The sequence below is a fragment of the Homo sapiens genome, chromosome 8, assembly GCF_000001405.40.
Source record: "Homo sapiens chromosome 8, GRCh38.p14 Primary Assembly".
NCBI lineage: Eukaryota > Metazoa > Chordata > Mammalia > Primates > Hominidae > Homo > Homo sapiens.
This window is the reverse complement of record NC_000008.11, coordinates 94,925,789-94,950,536: the sequence shown is the minus strand read 5'-3', so window position 1 is coordinate 94,950,536 and position 24,748 is coordinate 94,925,789. Positions and strand designations below refer to the sequence as shown.

Below are 24,748 nucleotides of genomic sequence, written 5' to 3'. Positions count from 1 at the left end.
CATTGTTGGAAATGGACTGACTACATTGTGAGGGTCAGAATGTGAGTGTCTTTCAGATACTGTAATGTGTGATAGGCATCCCTCCAGGGTTGCTATACAGCTCACCCCAGGTCAAAGAACTACATCCCAGTCCAAACAGTATCCACATGAGAGCTGATAGGCATCAACGTTACTCACCTGCCTTTGCCAGACAGTTAATCCACCTATATGTGGGACAGAGCCTTGGTCTGGAAAACACTTTCAAGCCCACTGTCTCACTCTCTTGTCACTATAAATAACCTGGTGAGTTGGCAGTCCCGGCGTGAATGCCCACAATTTGCAGGTATGCAAACAGAACAGAGGGGCTAAGTTCCGTGGGTCACATGAGAGCTAGGCTGCAGCGCCTGGGGAGGCGGCCGTTCCCGCCCGGTGCGCTTGTTGTCCGCTGGAGCAGAGGCCCCCGAGCCTGCTGACCTCTCTGCCTTCAGGCCTGGTCTCGCAGTCCCTTGTGCCTCGCCTATAGGCAGGCGGAATCCAGAGCGTGCAGCAAGCCCGGCCGGCTCTCGGTGGCGGTTTCTACAGCAGGTGGGGCCTGGCTCCGTGATTGAGCGGCCTCTACCCCTCTATCTGGGGCCCAGCAGCGGCCCCCTCCCAGCACCCTGGCTACACGTCTAACCCTAGGCTGACCAGGTGGGGCTCTCGGAGGCGTTAGCCCCAGCCCTCCCAGGAGTCTTAATGTTCCTCTCACAGGAAAAAACGTTCTGCGCCCTTTGTGCCCCAAACCCTCGACCCTTCACTCGGCGAGAGGGGTCGCTGAGGGAGAGATCCACCTCTGCCCTTCCCGTTGCCCGCCGGTTCTTCCTCGCCCGCCTCTTACGCACCCCGCTCCCGCCGGCTCCTGGAAAGCCGGCCCCGGCCCCAGCGCTTCCCTCCCCGGCCTAGCCCCTCTCTCCCACCCTTCCGCTCGCCCAGGCCTTCACGCTCAGCTCCCGGTTTTTGTTGCCCGGGCTTGTTTCGGAGCTGAGCGCGCCGCCGGCCGGGCGCCAGGTCACGTGCGTTGGTGACAACCTCTCGCAGGGCGGCCCCGGGGCCCCCGCACCGCCGATTGGTGGGGCCCGGCCTGGCGCGGCCCGGGGCGGGGCAGCGGGGCCCGACGGCGAGCGGAGCGGCCGATCAGCTGTTGCGAGCGCTGCACAACAACAAAAGGACTTGGACTGGCCGGCCTGGGCGCAGCGACCCGAGGGCTGGAGCCGGCCCCGCGCCTGCCGTCTGGGTACCTGAACGAGGTGCAGCGCAGCCCGGCCCCACCGCAGCTACCTCAGCAGTCCCGCCCCGCCCGCGTCCTTCCCCGCCGAGCCGGCGGCCGCTCCCTTCCCCGCGCAGCCCCGCACGGCCCGGGCCCACGTAAGTGCCGGGGGGGGGCGGGCGGGCGTCCGTCCAGGGCCGCCTCGCTGCCGGTTGGGGCCGCAGCGCTGCCCGCTCCTGAGCCCGGCGGGGCCGGCCGCGCGCCCTGCCTTCGGGGCGCCGGTTGCGCGTTCACCGAGCCCCCTCGCTGCCTCCCCTCGCCGCCGCCGGGCCCGGCCGCCCACCCAGTGGGTCGGTCCTCGGCGGCCCCCGGGGCCCAGGGCGCGGACAGAGGCTGACAGAGGCGGCGGCGGCGCGGACAAGGGCCCGGCCTGGCCCCGGCGCTGGGCGGCGGTTGGGAGTTTGGTCTCTGCCTCCTCCCCCGAGCGTGGCTTGTTTTCTTGGCCGCGGCGGGACCTCCTCCTCTCACCCCTCCTCACTCCCCTCCACTCCTCCTCCTCCGCCTGCTCTCGGCCGTTGGATGGGGCCGCCCCTTCGGGACTCGGCGTCGGGGCTCCCGCGGCCACCCCCGGGACGCATCTCCGAAGACAGCGGCGCTTGGGCTTGTGGCCCGGCGCTCTGTCCCCGCCCTGCGATCCCGTCCCCTGCGCCTGCCCTCCGAGTTCCGGAGGCCCTGCGGCTATGGGGAACCTGCTCCGTGACCCGGCCACCGGCCCCCGCCTGTCCGCGGCCTGTCCCTTGCTTGACCTGGCTTGAACTCAGTCTTCGCTACCTGACTTTGCACCTGTGGAAAGAGCGCTCTCCTTGGCCCTTAACATTTAGATCCTTTGGATCGCTCACGCTTACTGAGCGCTGAGTATGTGCCATATACTATGCTGGGGGCTTTGCTTTATCGCCCCAGTTGATTCTCATAATAACCTTATATGAAATAGGCCCGGCTATCTTACACATAGGAAACCCGAGGCACAGAGAGATTAAGTTGCTCAAGGCCACACAGCCAATTAATAAAAGGAAATGGTGTTTGTATTTCAAAGTGGCAGCTGAATTTTACCTGGAGAGTCTGTTTTGCTTGTATTTTCTGATTATATCTGCTCAGTAGGTTAATTCCAATACAGAGTGGATTAAGGAAGAGCCTCTTTACAACTGTGACTCCCAAGGACTTGGGCATCTATTGCTAAAAAAGCCTTTTCTCAATGCACAATAGTTTTGGGAAAAGGGGGAACAATGTGACCCTTGGGGTCACTGAACAGAAGTCATAATGAGTTCCCCCACGATACTGAAATCACCAGCCTGGTAATTGAAATACATTTTCATTTGCAGATGTGAAAAGCACTGGGAAGCTTTTAAGTCGCAATCAGTGTAATTCTGAACTGGCAGCATAATTTTAAAAGGCCCCTGCCTGGAACCAGGACCTTACTAATTTCTGTGACCAAGGTCTTGTTTTCTCATCCTATCTTTTGTTCTTTCCTGCCATTGCTTCCTCTGATGTCTGCTTTCAAAATTCAAGATTATCAGGCTATGAATTACCACTTACTCTTGTCTTTGTCCACTGTCTTTCAGCCTTAGGGGCAGACAGGGGTGGATCCCTGGGGGAATAACCTCCCTTGCACACTAGTTGAACAGTCTTCACATAAGTGGAACAAGCAAAGACAACTTTTTTGGCTTGGTTTTTTCTGCAGTTCAAAATCCATTTTAAATTACTTGAATCTAGTCTTCATATAAGTGGAACAAGCAGAGATAACTTTCTTGGCTTGGTTTTTCTCCAGTTCAAAACCCATTTTAAATTACTAGAATCTGCACGTTTTTAAAGTAGTGGAAGAGGGTGGGATAAAAAGAAGGATAATTCTGAAGCTGCTTTTCAATGACGGTACGTTTAGCCACCTGATTTCCTGAAACTGTGAAGGAGCCACAACTGTACACAGATTTAGAAGTTAGATCATCAAACTTGCGGGTTTTTTTTTTTTTTTTAATATTTTTTGGAGCCGCCTACTGGCAGCTGAAACTAACTGAAAAGGGCTGTTTTCTGAAGTTCGTAGACCCATAGTTGAGACTGGGAGCCTAAAAGAGCATGTATAGGGAAAACAAGGAATTGGAATCAGATGGATTTTTGCCCTAATGCTGACTCCACCCCAACCAACTCTGTCACTTTTGAACAAGTTAGTTAATTCCTCAGCCTCGGTTTCCTCATCAGTAAAATGGGACAAATAAGTACTTCAAGGCCCCGTTACATACAATAAGCATTCTGTAAATTGTAGCTCTAATTATTAAGTAGACATTTTATGGATAAAGAAACTCAAATGCAGCGATGCTAAATGACTTGTTGACAGTCTCACAACTGGCTTTGAATGAACCGAGGTCTGCTATTCTAAGTAGTATACACTTAATCCTTACACTGGCACTGTGAAGTAGGTATTATAACTATCATTCCCATGTTAAGGATGAGAAAACAGAGACACCAAGATGTTAGTAAATATCCTGAATTCACATAGGTTGCAAGTAGCAGAGCCAAGATTTCAAACTCCAGGGCCTGTCTTTTTTTTTTTTTTTTTTTTTTTTGAGACAGGGTCTTACTCTGTTGACCAGGCTGGAGTGTAGTGGTGGGATCACAACTCACTGCAGCTTCAAACTCATGGGCTCAAGCGATCCTCCTACCTCAGCCTCCCTGGTAGCTGGGACTACATGCACATACCACCACACCCAGCTAATTTATTTTTTGTAGAGATGGGGTCTTGCTTTGTTGCCCAGGCTGGTCTTGAACTCCTGGCTTAAAGTGATCCTCCTGCCTTGGCATCCCAAAGCACTGGGATTATAGACATGAGCCACTGCGCCCAGCCTCAGAGCCAGTCTTTAAGTACCACAATATACTGCCTCTTGGTGGGCTGTCTTAAAAGTGACAAAATAAATTATGCTAACAAGATCTTCCAAATTAGCAGTTCCTTTTCTAAGTGGTCAAACTAGAATGCTCTTCCCCGTGAGTATTAGACTCAGTCAGCCACCTTTCTCTGCCTACAAAGCATCTCTACTCATGTAATAATATGAAAACCATTGATGATAAAATGTTAAGTAACAGTGAGATACAAAACAGTGCATTCACAAGACTATAACTATGATAAAAAGAAGCCTTATGTGTAGAAGAAAAAAAAAAACAGAAGAAAAGGCACCAATGTGTTAAGTGGTGGGAACAAGGCAATGGAATAATACTTATTTTTCTTATTTTCTAGACTTTTTATAATGTGGTTTTGTTCAGTTTATAATTGAAAAGACATAATTTATTTTTTAAAGGGAGGGATGGAGGTCTTTTGAGCCAAGCAGAACAAGGACAAAGCTGCCTTCTTGAAATGCTAGGGCCCAGACACTTTGTTTCTTTTCTGTATTGAGGGGTTCTTTTCTCTTGTCGGGGAAACTGCTGGACTGACGCTGGTTAAAGCTGTTCAAAGAACAACAGCGCTACTTCACCTAACCTTCTTTGCTTCACCTCTTTGCTGAATTCCAGAACTGTATTTGTAAGTTTGTCCTCTTAGGACACATGCTTTCTCTGGAATTTTTATTTTCGTTCTATGATTGCCCTAGCATTGTGAATATTAGTGGTGATCTGGGGAGGAGAGGAGTCTAAAGCTCTACTTTTCCATTTACCTCCATGTAGAACCAGCCCAGTTGAGAGCCTCCATCCCTGGGCAGGAGCCAAGGTCAACAGTAGCAGTGACTGGGCAGGGACAGTCTCTGGGTCATCAGTAGGAGGGTAGGCCTTTAAGACTTTTTCTAGAACAGTCCTGTTCAACAGAAATAGATAATGTGAGCCACATGTATGTTTGAATTTTCTAGTAGCCATATTTAAAAAGGAAAAAGAAACTGGTGAAGTTAATTTTATTAATGTATTTAATATACTAAAATTATTTTTTCAACATGTAATCAATATAAAAACTGTTTTGCATTTTGGGGGGTACTAAGTCTTTGAAATACACTCTAGTGTGTACTTTACATATACAGCACATCTCAATTCAGATACAAAGTTTTCATTTGAAGTACTTGATCTATATTTAGACTTCGTAAAATTTATAGGTGAAAAAGTAGATTCATACCCTAACTGTTCCAAACATACTTGAAAGTTTTCAAAAAACTAAATTATCAGCTTTTAAGTTTAACTGGATTAAACTTAGTAAATGGATTAAATAGTAAAATGAAAAATGCAGTTTCTCGATGATACTAGTCACATTTCAAGTGTTCATGTGCACAGTGTGCCTGGTGGCTACCTCAGTGGACAGTTTTAGCAATGGGGGGAGGGTCTCTCCAATAGCTCCTTGCCTTTTGTGACACCTGCAGAAAGCAGGGCCAAAGGAATTTGGCTTTGCTAGTTAAACCAGCCTCACTTTTTTGTGCTAGAAGTTTGTGGGGAAAGAGAGTGACGAGGTGATTCAGCGCAGTCTCCCCATTTTCCCAACAGTGAGACTGAAGCTCAGAAGGGCCAATTTAGCTCCAGCCACCTGTAGTAGAGCCACAGCCAGAACTGCTGCTGTGGATGGCCAGGCCCCTTTAACCCTCCCCAGGAACTCCATTCTGTGTTCTTCCCACGGGTGTCAGCAGATGTGCCATGTAAACACCAGCAGTGGCTTGAGTGAGATGAAGGATGAGCTCCTCCCTCACTTGGCTGGGCTTCTGAGCACTCTGTCGCCCAAGGTTGGTTGTCCTTGCAGAGATATGGGACATCTGGAGGCAGCCTCTGACTTTGGGAAACCAAAAGAGCACTGACTTGTACTGCTCCCTAGAAAGCTCCTCCAGAGAAGCCTTTCCTGTATCTTACTTGCTACTTGCATATATTCCAGGCAGAAGCTGCCTTCCTGGGTTTGGACCTGTGGCCAGAGGGGGCAATTTGCATGTGGGAACCCAGCAGCTGTCACAACTGCAGTGGCCCCAGCAATGTTTTTTGGCCTTACAGCTGCCAGTTATCTGACCTGGGCCCCAGTGCCTTACTCTCATGCAGCATCACAGGTTGGGGACAAGGCATTCGTTCAGGACAAGCAAAGGTTCCCCTGTGTGGTTCTCCCCTCCCAGTGGCTTTAGCTGATTCAGGGCTAGAGTCCAGCACCATGCTCTGCAGAATTGGGCTTATTCTCTCAACTGGTTCAGCAGACACAGAATTGTACGTGGGGCCAATATCTGCCTCCACAATTTAAAATAAATGGAGGAAGGATTTTGAAAATATGTTTTTCCCTCTAAGCATGTATCCTCAAAAATCTTTATTTACATCAGACCTTATGATAACTTATTTTGGAATATAACTATCACACCACAGCAGGTCAAACAAACTACACTTTTCTTCTGATTGTTCTTACATAGAGCATAAAGCTGACTTTGAATTCTGCTACAGCTCCAGCCTTCATGATTTGGCCGTGCTGCTTTCCAGAAGGTTTCAGGAAGACTGGTTATGCAAGTGACACTTCCTGTTTACCTATTTTTAATAATTAGTGGCTGAAGAAGATGAATTGTGACCACAAAGTGTTCTAATGTTATTTATTTGAAATGTTTAACTTGTGTAGTAGTGTGCCAAACAACTGTAGCAGTTCAGTTTACACACAAGGAACTGAACCAGGAATCTCATTAGCTACAGATCCCAACTACTTTTACAGCTAAAGATTATTTTGAAAGTGAACTGTCAGGAGCCTGAAGTTGTAGATTCAAGGCTGATGCTTGTGATAAAAAGAGGTGGTGATTAGTGAGGTGCATTTCTTCAGCCCTGGATGATCTCATACATATATATAACTTTTTTTTGAGACAAGGTCTCGCTGTGTCACTCACACTGGAGTACAGTGGCACAATCATAGCTTACTGCATCCTTGAACCTGGACTCAAGAGATCCTCCCACGTCAGCCTCCCAAGTAGCTAGGACTACAGGTGCACACCACTGTACCTGGCTAATTTTTTAAAATTTTTTTGTAGAAACAGGTTATTTTGTTGCCTAGGCTGGTCTCCAACTCCTAGGCTCAAGCATTCCTGTGGCCTCAGCCTCCCAAAATGCTAGGATTGCAGACATGAGCCTCCACACCTAGCCTCATCCATTCCTATGCTTTTTATCACTGTCTTTGTGTCATCAGCTCCCAAATCTATGCCCCTAGCTGAGACCACACTCCTGAGCTCCAAAGCTCTATATCCTGCTGCCTGCTGGACATCTCCAACTGCATTATTTTGCATATCCCCCCAATTTACCATATTCGAAATGCCTAACCTGTACTTTCTGCAGGATTCATTCCTGTTTCCCTAAATGGTTCCACCATCCTCTCAGTTGGCCAAGCCAGAAACCTGGGTCTTTGACTTTTCCCTTCCCCTTTTCCAGGCTTACAAGGCCCTGCAGGACCTGGTTCCTGCTCAGCTCCCCTAGCCTGCTATTGTGACCCTCCCTCTGGACCTTGAGCGGTACTGAAGGTGCCACATTCTCACTCATCCACAGGCTTCCATAGTGTTCCTTTGCCCCCTTCCTCCATTACTGACCTCAGCCACTCAAGAGTAAAGTCATTGCAGGAGTCCACCCAGGTAGCCTGGAGAACACCAAATACTTCTTCCATGGCATTCATCACACTGGATTGTTAAACTTGTGGGAGGGCCCTGTTCACAGCCATCTCCCCTGTGCCCAGCACTGCACCTGATGCATAACAGGTGCTCAGTAAATACATGTAGAATAATAGTTGACCTGGACTGAGGACTTTATTCGAAGTATTTTGCTAAGTCCATTGCCTTTAACAAGAGTAGGATCAGGGAGACTGTCTAGTAGACAGTTTTGGCAAAGTCTCAGAGACAACAGTTTGGCTTAAACTAGGATGAGAGTGGTGGATGGAAGCAGGCAGATTCGAGCTGCCTGTGCTCCTGGGGTTGACGGGACTTGGTGGTTGGGATGAGGGGTGAGTAGGAGGGAGCAAAAGGCATGCGGGTGCGGCAGCTCACGCCTGTAATCCTAGCACTTTGGGAGGCTGAGGTGGGCGGATCATGAGGTCAGGAGATCGAGACCATCCTGGCTAACATGGTGAAACCCTGTCTCCACTAAATAAAAAAAAAAGAAATTAGCCGGATGTGGTGGTGGGCGCCTGTAGTCCCAGCTACTTGGGAGGCTGAGGCAGGAGAATGGCGTGAACCCGGGAGGCAGAGCTTGGAATGAGCCAAGATCGCCTCACTGCATGCACTCCAGCCTGGGCAACAGACAAAGACTCCGTCTCAAAAAAAAAAAAGCGTGAAGGGTGACTGCTAGGGTGTTGGCCTGAATAACTGCCAGCTGCTGCTGCTTCCTGAGAAAGGGATGAAGGGCAGTGTATATGAATAAGTTTGTGGGGGAAAAAAACCTATCTTTGGTATGTGTTTGGTTTGATACGCCCATCAGGTAGCCAGGTAGAAATGGATAAATATTCCAAGATCAAGCAAGCCTGGAGTTCTTCATTTAGAACTCACCAGAACTCCCTAAGGTAGGAGCTGTTGCCAGCTGAAGTCACATAACTTCCTAACTCACACAGCAAGTGAGCAGCTAGCCAGGGTTTGAATGCAGGTGGCTGACCCAGCACCCACCTGCTGAGCTGCTACACAGGAAGGGTGTTTCCAGTTCTAGGTTTGGCCAAGCTCAGTTTCCTACAGTGTAAATTTCTTCATGCCAGCTGTAGGAATTGTTTAGAAGGTCAAAGTATGCTTGCTGGGCTTACAGATTTTAAGTGTAATCAGGTGTGCTTACAGTTATAGACAAGAAGTACAGAGTAGAAGAGAAAATGAGCCAGAGGAGGATGAGGGCCTGGCATAATGGTGGTCACCAGGCACTGTTGCTGGGACTTCTGAGCAGTTGAATAACATATAGCAAGACTGTTACTATCTAGAATTTGCTCATCTGCTTGCAGAAAAGTTTGAAGGATATTATTCAAATTCACCTTATTATAAAAGCATAAATATGAAAAAGAACCAACTCTTTCCCTTTTATTTCACATTTTAAGATATTTATAGGTTGAATTTGAGTAAGAGTATTTACAAAACATTATGTTGCATTTCTTGTGTTTGACTCCTGCAGAAAGGGAATAGCTGTAGAATGTAGGCCAAGGCATATGCTTTCTTCTAAGGGTATGTGTGTATGTGTATGTACTTATGTATATATGTGCATGCTGATTTGAAATAACTTCCTTTTTCTGTTTTATTTTAGGTACAATGACTCTTCTTGCTTTTCACCTAAGTTGAATAAGCACCCTGTGCACTTTAATCTCCTGTCGGTACCATTGGGCCAACTAAAGACAAGGTTTTGAAATCTCAGCTATAAAAGACATCCAGCCAAACTCTCAGTCTTGCCTTAACAATGTTCCAGAGGCTGAATAAAATGTTTGTGGGTGAAGTCAGTTCTTCCTCCAACCAAGAACCAGAATTCAATGAGAAAGAAGATGATGAATGGATTCTTGTTGACTTCATAGGTAAGGTACACTTGGTTACTTGGTGGTTCATCTTCACAGTAAAAATGGAAACTTGCATCTCAGTTTTTGCATAAGGAAACCAATAACTGAGGGGTTTTCAGCCTTAAAAGTAAGCAGGAGTTTGTCTTTAAAAAATTGCAGGAAACCATCTGTGCTAGATAATGTCAGTGAAATTGACTGACATCAGACTTTTTAGTTTTGCAACTCTCACAGATTGATTAGATCAAGGGCACTTCATTAGAAGCCCCTTTTATTAGACAAGTAGTAACCAATATGTCTCATTACATAGTTATCCAGCAGAATAGAAACAGTCTTAAAATCACTCCTGCAAAGCCAACATAAATCTATCCCATATAGTGACACACACACACACACACACACACAGAATTTCTGTGCTCAGAAATAAATTTATAGTCATATAGATGAATATAAATGGTTTTCTGAACTAAATAAAAGAAGATACGTGAGCATCAGCTAATAGTATCATCTCTTCTTTTTCTGTGCTGTGAATTTGATGGGTGACTTTATAATGACTGCCCAATGTGATAATCATCCTCCTGTGGGACTCTTCAACAACACATGTGGACTGCAATGTGGACTACGATCTAGATACTTGCACTGGTTTCTCAGCAGAAGAAGAAGAAGAAGAGGAGGACATCAGTGAAGAGTCACCTACTGAGCACCCTTCAGTCTTTTCCTGTTTACCGGCATCTCTTGAGTGCTTGGCTGATACAAGTGATTCCTGCTTTCTCCAGTTTGAGTCATGTCCAATGGAGGAGAGCTGGTTTATCACCCCACCCCCATGTTTTACTGCAGGTGGATTAACCACTATCAAGGTGGAAACAAGTCCTATGGAAAACCTTCTCATTGAACATCCCAGCATGTCTGTCTATGCTGTGCATAACTCCTGCCCTGGTCTCAGTGAGGCCACCCGTGGGACTGATGAATTACATAGCCCAAGTAGTCCCAGGTACGTTACAAGTATTTAACTCTCTGTAGGCAGTCCACTGAGCATGCATTTTGTCTCTACTGTAATTCAAAGCTAAGTTATTAGAAGATGCAAAACTAATTTTGTTAGAGATTTATGAAAGCATGTGCATAGTACACAAGATGGTCCGTAAGATAACTTGTTGACCAGTCACAGTGTCTCACACCTGTAATCCCAGCACTTTGGGAGGCCAAGGCAGGCAGATCACTTAAGCTCAGGAGTTCAAGACCACCCTGGGCAACATGGTGAAACCCCGTCTGTACAAAAAATAACAAAAAATTAGCCAGGTGTGGTGGTGCACACCTGTAGTCCCAGCTACTCAGGAGGCTGAGGTGGGAGGATGGCTTGAACCAGGAGGCAGAGGTTGCATTGAGTCAAGATTGTGCCACTGCACATCAGCCTGGGTGACAGAGCAAGACTCTGTCTCAAAAACAAAAACTTGTTCATTTTAGATTTTTTTAAGAAAGTTAGATGTAGCATGGCCCCAGTTATATAATAGCATTCTCATTTACAAAATTCTGCTACTGATTAGAAATAAGACTGGCATTTCTGTTAAGTATCTTAGAACATAACTCTGACTTTATAGACTGGATTATTTAGGGTATCAAATTCAACTAGAATATCATGTCTTAAAATTTATTTTCTTCCAAGTATTTCTAGCTACATCTCATCAAATGATGTAACCTTGAAAACCTTGTCTGAGAATTTAACAAACTCAGTTTCTTCCTGCAATACTCACACTGCACAGTCACCCAGTGCTTCTGACACCAGATGTGTGGGTTTTTTCCACACACCAGGCAAACAGTCCTCCAGCAGTGGACACCCTCTAGTGTCCTCTGATTCAATTCAATTCTGACACTGTCTACCTCGAGATGGCATCAGATCCCATAGGTTAAAGGCTTAGTCCCAAAAGACTGCCTCCCATTTCTGATGCCAATCTCAAGCCCCAGGTTTTACTTATGCTTCTGACCAACCAGCTGTAAACTGGTGTTCCCACGACCCCTTCCTTGGGTTTGATTAATTTGCTAGAGCATCTTATAGAACTTGGGGGAACATGTTTACCAGTTTATTAAAAAGGATACAGATGAAGGGATGCATAAGGCAAGGCCCATGCCCTCTGTGCACCCCACCCTCCGGGAACCTCCACATGTTCAGCTCTCCAGAGGCTCCCTGAACTCAGTACTATTGGGGTCTTATGGAGGCATCAGTACATAGGCATAATTGATTAAATCATTGGCCATTGGTGATTGGCTTAACCTTCAGACCCTCTCCCCTCTCTGGAGTTTGAGGGGTGGGGCTAAAAGTCCCAACTGTAACTTGGTCTTTATAGTGACCACATCCCATCCTGAAGCTGCCTAGTTGCTGCCAACCACCAGTCAACTAATTAGCATACGCTTTCCACATTGGAGGTTCCAAGGATTTTAGGAGTTGTATGCCAGGAGACTGACAAGACCGAATATATATTTTACAGTATCACAGTCCAGCCTCAGTCTTCAAACTTGGATTCCTTACAACAAAAGGATATGGAACTCAAAAAATACTGGCACAACACCAGAATCCCATTCAGTCAGTAATTCATTCCATCCATCATCGTACTGTATGAGCATGTCTCCCAGGGTGAGGCCACTCAGGTTTGCAGGTTAATTGATCTTGTTGGTTTCCAAAAGCAGAAATGGTTTTAGCAAACACGTAGCTTCACCCTTTCAGGCATCTGGTATACCTGAGCTTAGAAACAATGTCATCTTTTTCTCTGAGCCTGTTTCAAGGTATTAATATAATGAATTGATCCCAATTCATAACCTATTTATTCATTCTTTTATCTTCTTTCTCTTCATTTATACCCAAACTTTTCCATCTCTGGAAGGGACGTTAGCTTTAGCCACTGTGCTGGTCTAGATTGCAGGTAGCAATACTAGTTTAGCAAGTACCTCTCCCTCAGTCCACTCCCATTCAGATAGGGTAAGGTGACATAGGTACAAAATTAGTAGGCTGTTTTTACCACCAGACAATACAGCTGCATTCGTTGTTGGCTCCAGTTTTGCAAGATGGGGTCTAGGTAACCCCCATAAGACCCTTAGGAATTTTGACATAAGGTTTAAAAACATAGTTACAGCTTCTTGCTCAGGAACCATCCCTGCTTCCAGTACTTGTAGTTACAGCCCTGGTCCTAGGACCATTGCATCCAGTAGAGGAAAAAAAAATGAGGTGATGTGGGAAAGAAAAAGTTAAAGTCATTATACTAGCATACTTAACCCTTGGCTAGAATTGCATAAGTCATGCCAGCATCCTCCTCCCCATCCCTTCTTCCTCAGATACCAGAAAAACAGGAAAATCTTGTGGGGACAGCCAGCCCTTCATGCTTTTATCCCCCCATTTTGTTTTTGGGTTTTTTTTTTTTTTTGAGATGGAGTCTCACTGTGTCACCCAGGCTGGAGTGCAGTGGCAGGATCTTGGCTCAGCGCAACCTCTGCCTCCCGGGTTCAAGTGATTCTCCTTTCTCAGCCTCCCAAGTAGCTGGGATTACAGGCGCCCGCCACCATACCTGGGTAATATTTGTACTTTTAGTAGAAAGGGGGTTTCACCATATTTGCCAGGCTAGTCTCGAACTCCTGACCTTTGGTGATCCACCGCCTCTGCCTCCCAAAGTGTTTTTGGGCATTATGGGCTGTATAGTGTGTCCTTTGGTCTGAAGAAATGACAGTTAACTATCCACATCCAGGCAGTATCTTCTGTTGTAGGTTTTTTTGGCACTCTGAGCATTTGCATCTTCCATTGGTTAAGTAAAGCCCACTCCAGAGACTGTCTTTTCTTCTCAAGACCCATTTTGTAGCTCCCCAGGGCTACCAGCACTAGTCTCACTTGCAGCTATGCTCAGGGCCTTCCCACCAGGGAATCTGCCCCTCATCAGTAGTCTGTCTCTTTTGCTGGCTGGCAGAACGGTTCTCATTGGTATTTGTGCCTGAGAGAGTAGAAGAGGAATGTCTAGATGCAGCCTGTCTCTGCACTGCCTGTACCACTCATTTAATGAACCCAGGATGGCACCTCCAGGGAGCACACGGAGATATATCTGCTTCCAGTCCCAGTCACCTTCCAAACCTGGAAGGGAGTTCTTCTGATGGCCACTGGCATGTCCTAATATACCCCTCAAATTTCCGTAGGGTTGTGCTCCCTATGGAAGCCATCCCTTTAAAAGTCCAGGTTTTCATTGTGATTCTGCCTGACCATGTCCACTAGCCACTGCCCATGAGTCAGTAAAAACCCAAACCTAGGGGCTTCCATCATCGCTAGGAAAACAGCGTGCAGTTCAGCCCACAGAGCCGATTTGTTTTTACCTTCTTTGATCAAAGTAGCATCCTTCCAAACAAGATGCTGTCTGTTCACGTTGGAACTGCCATCCACAACCAAGCAGCTCTTTGTCAGTCAGTTGAGAGCTATTGGCAGTGTGGAATCCAGCTCCTCACACAGTTCCAGAGTCAGTCCAAGGTGGGGAGAGGCTCCCTGCTTGTGGGTGTGTCCTTCTTACATTCCCTACATAACATGATCCTGTATAAACCATTTCCATTTATTATGGAACTCTTCTGGGCACTGCCCTCCTAATTAGTGTTTCTCTGACATCACCAAACACAGCATGGGTATTTCAGGTTTCAAGATCATTTTATGTCCTTCAATCCTAGGGGTAGCTTCAATTAATGTCCTGTGGCAAGGGAGTAAATGCCTCTCATGTGGAAATTCTCTAGTCCAAAGTGCTAGTAGTTGTTACTGAGAGGTGTTCACAGTCTTTTGCCATAAGTGCCAGTTTCCCTTCCACATAAGACTATCAGACAGATAATTTGTCCCTACCACCACTCCAGCTTCTACTATACACCATTGGGCCTGGGCAGTGCTGTTGGTCCCCATTTAGCATGTCCAGTTAATATTGTCATGAAGGGCAGATTTACATGCCTTTTGTTTTACAGTACTAGGTAGGGGAAGTGTGTCTCCAGCCAGACATATCCATTCTCATAAAACATTTAGGTAAAGGGGATATAACTTCTTTACGTAAAGCTCACTTAAACATCCTAACTTTCATAATTCTATCAACCCTTGCATTTTTATGTTCTCCAATCTAATTGTAGCCTGAATCAGGGCTTTACCAATAGATCTTGATACCACAGTACATGGAGCTCCCATACCAAGGAGTCCCAGGAATTTATCTTCACCACCCCGACCATTTTACCCACTTGTGTAGGAGAGGCCTTTGGTTCCCAGCAGAGACAGAGAAATAGATCCTTGCCCATTTGTCAGTCATTATCTTGATTAATCAATCTGTCTATTGCCCCAAGCAATTGTTGGTCACTTTTCTTGTAATCTCTGCCTTCTGGCTTTTTAAGTTTCCCCGAATTTACAGACATCATATGACCTTTGTCCAGAGAATATAGCTAGGAAATATCTGAGATTGCTCCCACCCACTAAAGTAAACCCCATTACCCAGTTAATTAGCTGAAAGTCACACTGTTCTATCGTGTACCTTAGTGGAATGTTTCCTGTTAAAGTATTTTGGGAATGTTGGCATTCCCTCTCTTAGGTTGAGGGTCCAGGTGGATTTGGATCCTTGGAGCAGTTCAGAATATCCCTATTGTTAGTGTTGTCATGTCCAGGCTCTGACTCTAAGAAAAGTATTGTATTATATCTATCTATCTATCTATCTATCTATCTATCTATCTATCTATCTATATCTATCTACCTATGTACCTACCTACCTACCTACCTACCGTTTCCTGTTTTCCAGATATAAACAAACCCTAGGCAGCACATTAATTTATTAACTTTACCAGAGTTTGCCATACTCTCAAGTCTCAATATTGTAGATGATTTTTTATGAGGCTAAACATATTTCATTTTGCTTGTACCAAAATGAAAACAACTTTCTTATGTTACATGATGCCAGGCTATATCCTAGGTAAGGTCATGGGTGGGGAATGTTACTTTAACTGGCACTTTATTCAGTGCTACAAGTTTATTAAGAGGTGTTTCAGGCATTCCAACAAAAATTTAAAATATAACTTTGTGGAGTTGCTATTGATTTAATTGCTTTAGAGTTGCTTCAGATTCATTTCTTGAAAATTCTTCCCTTCTGATTATGATTTTACCTCTGAGGAATGCCACTCAAGAATTTATAATTAGGCCAGGTGCAGTGGCTTACACCTGTAATCCAAGCACTTTGGGAGGCTGGGGTGGGTGGATCACGAGGTCAGGAGTTCAAGACCAGCCTGGACAACATGGCAAAACCCCATCTTAAAAATACAAAAATTAGCCAGGCTTGCTGGTGGGCGCCTGTACTCCCAGCTACTAGGGAGGCTGAGGCAGGAGAATTGCTTGAACCCGGGAGGCAGAGGTTGCAGTGAGCTGAGATCACGCCATTGCACTCCAGCCTGGGTGACAAAGCAAGGCTCTGTCTCAAAAAAAAAAAAAATAGAATTTATAATTAATAGTCACTTTAAACTTACTGGCATTTATATGTTTACTTTGCAGTGTTGTGTGTGTGTGTAGTCAGCAGCTTTGCAAAAGAATTTACTACAGAAACAGTACAAATGCAATGTAAAAAAATTAGAAAATACAAATATGCAAAAATTGGAAATGACATTTTCATGACCCAGAGATGAATACTTTTAACATCCTAGAGTATATCCTTCCAGATTGTGTTTTTTTTTTTCTGTGCCTGTACGTACACATAAACTTTTAACCTAAATGGCAACATGCCATATATACTTCTTTTTTTTTTTTTGAGACAGAGTTTCACTCTTGTTGCCCAGGCTGGAGTACAATGTTGCAATCTTGGCTCACTGCAACCTCTGCCTCCCGGGTTCAAGCAATTCTCCTGCCTCAGCCTCCCAAGTAGCTGGGATTACAGGCATGTGCCACCGCCACTACGCCCAGCTAATTTTTGCATTTTTAGTAGAGACGGGGCTTCACCATGTTGGCCAGGCTGGTCTTGAACTCCTGACCTCGTGATCCTCCCCCCCCCCCCACAAAGTGCTGGGATTACAGGCATGAGCCACCATGCCCAGATGTATAGTTGGTTTTTTTGGGGGTTTTTTTTGAGAGAGTCTTGCTCTGTCACCCAGGCTGGAGTGCAGTGGCGCGATCTCAGCTCACTGCAACCTCTGCCTCCCAGATTCAAGCAATTCTCATGCCTCAGCCTCCCGATTAGCTGGGACTACAGGCGTGCACTACCACACCTGGCTAATTGTTGTGTTTTTAGTAGAGACAGGGTTTCACCATGTTGATTAAGCTGGTCTCAAACTCCTGACTTCAGGTGAGCCACCTGCCTTGGCCTTCCAAAGTGCTGGGATTACAGGTATGAGCCACTGTGCCCGGCCCAGATATACTATTTTATAAACTACTTATTTAGGCAATGATCTCCACCATTTTGTTTCAGTAGATTTCTTCTTCTTTCTTCCTTCTTCTTCCTTCCTTCTTTTTCAAGGTTGTTATGGTTTTCTAGTTTTGGTACAGTGAGAATGTTGTTTTTATATCTTGTTTGTTTTTGCATTCATATATGATAGTTATATAGGGATAGTAAAACAAATACATACTTTTCCATATATAAAGGGTCAAAGGAAGGCACTGAATTTTATTTATGTATTTTAACACGGAGTCTCACTGTTGCCCAGGCTGGATTGCAGCGGCGCAATCTCGGCTCACTGCAACCTCCGCACTGGGTTCAAGTGATTCTCCTGCCTTATCCTGCCGATTAACTGGGATTACTGGCACATGCCACCATCTCCAGCTAATTTTTTGTATTTTAAGTAAAGATGGGGTTTCACCATATTGGCCAGGCTGGTCTCAAACTCCTGACCTCAAGTGATCCGCCCACCTTGACCTCCCAAAGTTCTGGGATTACAGTCATGAGCCATTGTGCTCGGCCAGAATGCACTGAATTTTATGTGAATCCTTTTTGTACACAGGAAACTCCTGTAAATTATTAGTTTTAAAATAGTAACTATAATTTTTTTAACATCCTTATTTTGGGATTTGAAATTCTTTTTTTTTTATTTTTGAGACGGAGTCTCGCTCCTTCGCCCAGGCTGGAGTGCAGTGGCGCTATCTCGGCTCACTGCAAGCTCCGCCTCCTGGGTTCATGCCGTTCTCCTGCCTCAGCCTCCCGAGTAGCTGGGACTACAGGCGCCCGCCACCGCACCCAGCTAATTTTTTGTATTTTTAGTAGAGACGGGGTTTCACTGTTTTAGCCAGGATGGTCTTGATCTCCTGACCTCACGATCCGCCCGCCTCAGCCTCCCAAAGTGCTGGGATTACAGGCGTGAGCCACCGTGCCCGGCAGGGATTTGAAATTCTTATAAGGAAGTCTTGCTAAATCAAGGTGGAAATCAGGTGTTACCAAAATTAGGCTAGCTTTGTAGTAAATATCTGTTTTCTTAGCAGGAAATGAATCATATGTCTTTCAGAAGTCAGATTGCTTCCATTGTGTCTATCATTGGGGATATTACCATAAAGCACAGAAAATTGAGGTGCTTTGTAATTACAGTGGGCTTCAGGGTATACATTTCATTGCATTTTAGCCTTTATAAGTATTGTTTTTGAAGGTTTTACATGTTATCTTAAGCACATGTACGTGCCTTTAATGGCACATAGTAAACCAGTTTTAATAAAAGTTGACCACGTCCTAATAGTAAAGTTACAATAGCATTTTAAATCTTACTAGTGATTTAATAGTTCACCATTTAACATTTGTAGGGCCAGGAAAAGCTGCTTATAAGACTCACGGGCACAGAGTAAGTATATTCACTTTGAGACTGTGTGATATATGTATGCATAGGGAGGCAAAGGACCCAAATGCTGACCTTTTAAAAATGACTTTCTTTCTTTTTTTGAGATGGAGTCTCACTCTGTCACTCAGGCTGGAGTGCAATGGTGTGATATTGGCTCACAGCAGCCTCCACCCCCCAGATTCAAGTGATTCTCTTGTTTCAGCCTCCCAAGTAGCTGGGATTACAGGCTTGCATCACCACACCTGGCTAATTTTTGTATTTTTAGTAGAGATGGGGTTTCACCATGTTGGCCAGGCTGGTCTTGAACTCTATTAAGGTGATCCACCTGCCTCAGCCTCCCAAAGTGTTGGGATTACAAGAGCGAGCCACAGCGCCTGGCCTAAAAATAATTTTCTTTATATTAACTTTTTTCTATTAGTTTCTTATTGTGGCCTCTTAAAATTCTACTTTAAAAAAATTTTATGTGTGTGTGTGTGTGTGTGTGTAATAAATATGTGTGTTTCCTCAAGTGATTTTAGGCAGAATGTGTCACTGCCCTTCCTGTGTAAAATAACTCTTAAAAATCATACAGCTCTTCATGTTACGTGTTGACATAGTTTACAGCAATCCTACTTGATTAGCTTTTTTATATGGAAAACATAATCATACTGTGTGTAGCCAATTTTAAGATTGTGTTATTCAAGAGTCTTATATTGCCATGTAAATACCATCTCAAAATGTGCCCTGTTGTGAGATAAAGAAAAACTTAAGAGATTTATTCTATTAAGCTATAGCTTTTTATCTAGAAAAATGGCAAATGAGTAGAATTTCCATATGCAAATTTCTATTAAATAAAGATTTAAAGCATGTTTCCTGGAACATTTTACTTATAGACAGGAAATGTCTTGTGAAGGTATTGTGAGCACACTGCTTTCTGATCAGTAAAATTTGGGAATTAAAATATTTTCCTTTTAAGATTATGGTGAGAATTAAAATATATATTTGCAAAAGAATTGGCAAATGCAGATATTCAATAAATGTTAGCTCCCCTCCCAGACAAGCTTATATAAATGTGTGTGCTCCGTAAATGAAATTCAAAGTTTAAAGTGTATTTTTAGAAAACAGTCTACTTAGTGAGCCATCTGGGGCTTATATGGCATCTTTCTAGTAACAGTTGGCTCTCCTTTCCACCACTATCAGTCAGTGGGGTCACAGAATAATAAACTTGTCTGTCAGCCATGAAACACAAGCTCTCATTCAGCCATAAACAAATTAGCGTGGCAAATTGAATTGCTAAGTAACTTTTCCAGTTTTGTTAATAACATACTCTGTTATTTAATACATCCCCACTTTTTTCTGTTTCAGAGTGGAAGCTCAAAATGAAATGGGGCAGCATATTCATTGTTATGTTGCAGCTCTTGCTGCTCATACAACTTTTCTGGAACAACCCAAGAGCTTTCGCCCTTCCCAGTGGATAAAAGAACACAGTGAAAGACAGCCTCTTAACAGAAATAGCCTTCGTCGCCAAAATCTTACCAGGGATTGCCACCCTCGGCAAGTCAAGCACAATGGCTGGGTTGTTCATCAGCCCTGCCCGCGTCAGTACAATTACTAATAGTTTCAAGTTTTGTTGGTTGGTTTCTCTTGGTTTGTGCTTACATGTATGGATGTGTGTATATGTACAGTGAAAATGTTGTCTCTTTACAACCAATTGATAACCAATCACATAGTTTTATCAGTGTATTTAGACACTATCTTGAAAATCAGATTTATATGCTGTGTATCACATAATGCCTTGCCTTTAACATTTACTTTTTTTGTACACTTTTTCAGATTATTTCTGGAAACATATCAATATAATTACAGTGTTTGGGGGTGTCTTTAAATATATTAGGTTATACATTAGTCAGCATTTTAAAGACATTTCTTCCCAAGTACGAGAATAGGCATCTTTCATTTTCATTTTATTTTGTATTACTTAATCTTTTAAGCAAGCAAAAATTTATTCTCAGGGTCAGCTGTACACTTTATTGACCAGTACTTGATAATCTCTCTGTATATGATGAATACATTTTTACACACTAACATTAGCATTAACAGGTGATAGTTGCCATGGATATAATGGAATTATGGCTGGACTTTCTTTTGAAAGAAAACTTGATGTATTCTGTGTGTATGGTTTTTCCCCAGATTAGTCATACAGTTCATTTGGAATTCAGGTACATTAAGCTTTAGTGAAGAGTGCATGCAGTAATTCCAATGTGACTGCATGACGTGGTACAGACATTACAGGTGTTGTAGACAGAGGCACTTGTCTCGTGCAGAGGGATTAAATTAGACCTGTGAGATTATATTTGGAAAAATTCATGTCTGTAACTAACCCATTAGTGCAGTATTTAATTTGTTACTATTCCTTCCCGCCAATTCTGTCCACTCCTCACCTCGCATCAGCTATAAATTTGGAAGTACTTGTCCAGGCACTCAAGTGACTTCATATTTCTCTCTGCCCATGGGAAAAGAGATAGGCTTTATATTTCCACAGAGTGAAAAATCCTCTGTCATGGAGCCTGTCCTGCCAAGTGGCAAGAGTGTGGGGACTGTCTGGTGATGATGTCTTTCATGGCATCTGAGTGAAGAGTGACAGGTTGGCTCAACTTTTTTCTTTTTTTTTTTTTAATTGCCTTGTATTGTAAGTATTCTTCCCTGCAGTCCAAGTGACTTTTCATTTTTTGTTTTAACTTCAGGCAAAATCTTTAACCACTCTGGCCTCTGTTTCCCCCACCAACGGGGAGCAGTGACATTTACCTCCCTCACAGAGTCACTGTGAGGATTCTATACTGATTTGAAGTGGAGCTGTTCAGAACTGAACCTTGTAGGAAATTCCAAGGGCCTTTCTACTGAATCTGGTGATGGGGTGGGGCCGTGGCACTTTCTCTGCCACAGCTGTTCTTCACAGTGTTGGTGCTAATGAGGCCAGGGTGCAGGGTTCGATTCACACGTAGGCCAGTTAACTTAGAGAAAATCTATTTCCTTACCTCTAGCCAGTCACTTCCTTTTTCCGCAGTTGTGATGGGTTTTGCTGAGCCATCCACTCTGACTGATTTCCTCTGAAGTAAACATATTTACAATCCAAAGCAATTCTACTGACAGAAGTGTTGCCTTCATAATCAAACAGCTTGTTTTTCCATCTCCTCTGCAACCCTAATTAAATGAGTACAGGTCTACAAAATGTTTTCAAGGAGAAAAGCAGCATATCCTTAAGTGAAGTATTATATTTTTCAATAACCCTGTAGTGGCTTGATGCAGGGAACCCTGGGGGACTTTCAGCGAAGAGCTGTGCTCTTTTCTGACTAGATTAGAGCGTTTGGAGTGGAAGACGTCAAATGTGTAGTGAGATGGAGGTTTTACATTGTTCTTCTACTGGCTGTGATGAAGTGCCAGAATGTCTCTTTAGAACAAGAGTTAGATTCCCCCTTTCTCCTTATTGCCCCTTCCGTTTTGACTTCCCCTTTATTTATTTGTTGTCTAATTAGGGGCCAAGTCTGTAAAGTTTTGTCAAAGTGAGTTAGAAGTTGTTTTCTCTTACTATTTGTGTTTACCAGAGTTGGGAGATAAGATAGTTTCCATGAAGGTGTGTATGTTTTATACGATGTTTGTTATAGGGCCATGCATTGGTAACTTGAAAATAGACCAGCTTAATGTCTTCAGGATGTAAAACTCTGAATACACGGCGTCTCTTTTTCATACATTGCATGTAAGTTGTTAGTACCTCACAAGCTACAGAAGTTCAGCCATGAGATTTTGTTTGGCAACATGAACAGATTTGTGTATAACTGCAATGGCCTTTTTTTCCAGATTTCCTTATTGACTTTTTGTTTGCCTTACCTGGGGCTAGTTTTTTATGCTTTGTACCTAGAAAACAAAAAATTACATTCGTTGGGCTTTTTTTCAAGGTTGGGATTACCACACCACCTGGAATATCATACTGTGGTTTCTGCCTAAAATTGGCACATGTAAGTATTGAAGAAAATGGTTATATAATTCAGTTGAAACTCTTGGTTATTAGATGTTAGGCATCTCCTGTATGTAAGACACAAGGCCAACCACAACACAGAACGATGTTGACCTGTTAAGTATTCTCTGAAACATGGCCAAAATGCATTTTATGAGCTTTTTTTTTTGCTATTGTAAATATTAGTGGTTTACAATGCGCTTTAGACATATTTCTTTAAAATGCAAGCAGTGAGAAATAAGACCTCTCTGAATTAGTAGCTCTAAACTGTTAACATAGAATGTTACTTGGAAAAAGTCTGGAATATGTGGTGTACACAAGCAGTGCTTCGTGAATGAGTTTCTTAGCTTTTATAGTGCGCCATGTTTCTCAAAGTTTGTTTTTGTTGACAAAACATTTTATAATATATATCTTATGTTTATTTTTTTTCTCAACTAATTGTGTACTGCACTGTAAGGTGAAAATTAGCCATCCATTATTTATCTTCTGTGGCAATGCATTTATATGGTTGATTGGGTGGGGAATTTTTTGCAGAAAGATGCAAAGTGATTGGGTTTTCGACTTCCTATCGCAGGGAGCTTTTAAGAAATATTAATTTCCTATACATTTTTCCAATCCCCATGCAAACTGTTCCTGTTTACATACCTTCTCTGTTGTATCAGTACTTTGAGTGAGAAGACAGTTTATTTAAAACTTGAGCAGGCTGTTCAGCATTGTTTCTGCTTCTGAAATCTGTATAGTACACTGGTTTGTAATCATTATGTCTTCATTGAAATCCTTGCTACTTCTCTTCCTCCTCAATGAAATACATTATATATTATCTTTATGTACTCTTAAGAAAAACGAGCAAGGAAGAGTATCTTCATTATTCTCATTTTCTCTGAGTTGGAAACAAAAACATGAAGGACTCCAACTAGAAGACAGATATTTACATTTAAATAGATTAGTGGGAAAACTTTAAGAGTTTCCACATATTAGTTTTCATTTTTTGAGTCAAGAGACTGCTCCTTGTACTGGGAGACACTAGTAGTATATGTTTGTAATGTTACTTTAAAATTATCTTTTTATTTTATAAGGCCCATAAATACTGGTTAAACTCTGTTAAAAGTGGGCCTTCTATCTTGGATGGTTTCACTGCCATCAGCCATGCTGATATATTAGAAATGGCATCCCTATCTACTTACTTTAATGCTTAAAATTATACATAAAATGCTTTATTTAGAAAACCTACATGATACAGTGGTGTCAGCCTTGCCATGTATCAGTTTCACTTGAAATTTGAGACCAATTAAATTTCAACTGTTTAGGGTGGAGAAAGAGGTACTGGAAAACATGCAGATGAGGATATCTTTTATGTGCAACAGTATCCTTTGCATGGGAGGAGAGTTACTCTTGAAAGGCAGGCAGCTTAAGTGGACAATGTTTTGTATATAGTTGAGAATTTTACGACACTTTTAAAAATTGTGTAATTGTTAAATGTCCAGTTTTGCTCTGTTTTGCCTGAAGTTTTAGTATTTGTTTTCTAGGTGGACCTCTGAAAACCAAACCAGTACCTGGGGAGGTTAGATGTGTGTTTCAGGCTTGGAGTGTATGAGTGGTTTTGCTTGTATTTTCCTCCAGAGATTTTGAACTTTAATAATTGCGTGTGTTTTTTTTTTTTTTAAGTGGCTTTGTTTTTTTTTCTCAAGTAAAATTGTGAACATATTTCCTTTATAGGGGCAGGGCATGAGTTAGGGAGACTGAAGAGTATTGTAGACTGTACATGTGCCTTCTTAATGTGTTTCTCGACACATTTTTTTTCAGTAACTTGAAAATTCAAAAGGGACATTTGGTTAGGTTACTGTACATCAATCTATGCATAAATGGCAGCTTGTTTTCTTGAGCCACGGTCTAAATTTTGTTTTTATAGAAATTTTTTATACTGATTGGTTCATAGATGGTCAGTTTTGTACACAGACTGAACAATACAGCACTTTGCCAAAAATGAGTGTAGCATTGTTTAAACATTGTGTGTTAACACCTGTTCTTTGTAATTGGGTTGTGGTGCATTTTGCACTACCTGGAGTTACAGTTTTCAATCTGTCAGTAAATAAAGTGTCCTTTAACTTCACACTTGTCAGATTCTTTTATCTTTATACTCATTAATATTAAAAGGAGGTACAACTTACTGTTTAGTTTTTTTGTCCAAAAGATGTATTTAATACACATTTTATATATGTTTTTAAAAGCTTGTATATATTAAGGCTGGGCGCAGTGGCTCATGCCTGTAATCCCAGCAATTTGGAAGGCCAAG

At 43.4% G+C, this 24,748-nt stretch overlaps 2 protein-coding genes across 17 annotated transcripts in view, besides 8 other annotated features; one reads left to right on the top strand and one right to left on the bottom strand.

Moving 5' to 3' along the window:
• NDUFAF6 (NADH:ubiquinone oxidoreductase complex assembly factor 6) overlaps window positions 1–24,748 on the bottom strand; it is a 222,698-nt gene that overhangs the window by 167,960 nt on the left and 29,990 nt on the right. For 3 of the 14 annotated variants that reach the window (NR_148908.2, NR_148907.2, NR_148909.2), the window contains exon 1: window positions 178–977. The exons of 9 other annotated variants lie outside the window; for them this stretch is intronic. The gene's annotated coding sequence lies outside the window, so the exon portion shown is untranslated. Of the gene's footprint in view, window positions 1–177; window positions 978–4,917; window positions 5,055–24,748 lie in introns of those variants that run through there. 2 more of the 14 variants (NR_148905.2, NR_148906.2) reach the window with 1 other exon arrangement.
• Window positions 304–353: an enhancer, noted in NCBI's record as "active region_27638". NCBI's record gives its function as "activates an Ori minimal core promoter by ATAC-STARR-seq in GM12878 lymphoblastoid cells {active_cell/tissue: GM12878}" and the evidence as "EXISTENCE:reporter gene assay evidence [ECO:0000049][PMID:35858748]".
• Window positions 524–693: an enhancer, noted in NCBI's record as "active region_27637". NCBI's record gives its function as "activates an Ori minimal core promoter by ATAC-STARR-seq in GM12878 lymphoblastoid cells {active_cell/tissue: GM12878}" and the evidence as "EXISTENCE:reporter gene assay evidence [ECO:0000049][PMID:35858748]".
• Window positions 524–1,818: a biological region, named in NCBI's record as "H3K27ac-H3K4me1 hESC enhancers GRCh37_chr8:95960947-95961575 and GRCh37_chr8:95961576-95962205".
• Window positions 560–1,189: an enhancer, noted in NCBI's record as "H3K27ac-H3K4me1 hESC enhancer chr8:95961576-95962205 (GRCh37/hg19 assembly coordinates)". NCBI's record gives its function as "activates a minimal SCP1, AML or CMV promoter by ChIP-STARR-seq in primed H9 embryonic stem cells {active_cell/tissue: H9 hESC(primed)}" and the evidence as "EXISTENCE:reporter gene assay evidence [ECO:0000049][PMID:30033119]".
• Window positions 814–923: a silencer, noted in NCBI's record as "silent region_19377". NCBI's record gives its function as "represses an Ori minimal core promoter by ATAC-STARR-seq in GM12878 lymphoblastoid cells {active_cell/tissue: GM12878}" and the evidence as "EXISTENCE:reporter gene assay evidence [ECO:0000049][PMID:35858748]".
• Window positions 1,004–1,383: a silencer, noted in NCBI's record as "silent region_19376". NCBI's record gives its function as "represses an Ori minimal core promoter by ATAC-STARR-seq in GM12878 lymphoblastoid cells {active_cell/tissue: GM12878}" and the evidence as "EXISTENCE:reporter gene assay evidence [ECO:0000049][PMID:35858748]".
• Window positions 1,159–24,565, top strand: TP53INP1 (tumor protein p53 inducible nuclear protein 1). Of its 3 annotated transcripts, NM_001135733.2 has the most exons (5): window positions 1,159–1,383; window positions 9,446–9,707; window positions 10,317–10,677; window positions 18,430–18,467; window positions 19,809–24,565. In NM_001135733.2, the coding sequence occupies exons 2-4, from the start codon at window positions 9,596–9,598 to the stop codon at window positions 18,449–18,451; spliced, it is 495 nt and encodes a 164-aa protein (NP_001129205.1). In that variant the 5' UTR covers window positions 1,159–1,383; window positions 9,446–9,595; the 3' UTR covers window positions 18,452–18,467; window positions 19,809–24,565. The 3 variants fall into 3 exon arrangements, with proteins under 3 accessions (NP_001129205.1, NP_150601.1, XP_011515688.1); NM_033285.4 differs by lacking the exon at window positions 18,430–18,467; XM_011517386.3 differs by lacking the exons at window positions 1,159–1,383; window positions 18,430–18,467 and adding an exon at window positions 2,193–5,023.
• Window positions 1,190–1,818: an enhancer, noted in NCBI's record as "H3K27ac-H3K4me1 hESC enhancer chr8:95960947-95961575 (GRCh37/hg19 assembly coordinates)". NCBI's record gives its function as "activates a minimal SCP1, AML or CMV promoter by ChIP-STARR-seq in primed H9 embryonic stem cells {active_cell/tissue: H9 hESC(primed)}" and the evidence as "EXISTENCE:reporter gene assay evidence [ECO:0000049][PMID:30033119]".
• Window positions 1,604–1,743: a silencer, noted in NCBI's record as "silent region_19375". NCBI's record gives its function as "represses an Ori minimal core promoter by ATAC-STARR-seq in GM12878 lymphoblastoid cells {active_cell/tissue: GM12878}" and the evidence as "EXISTENCE:reporter gene assay evidence [ECO:0000049][PMID:35858748]".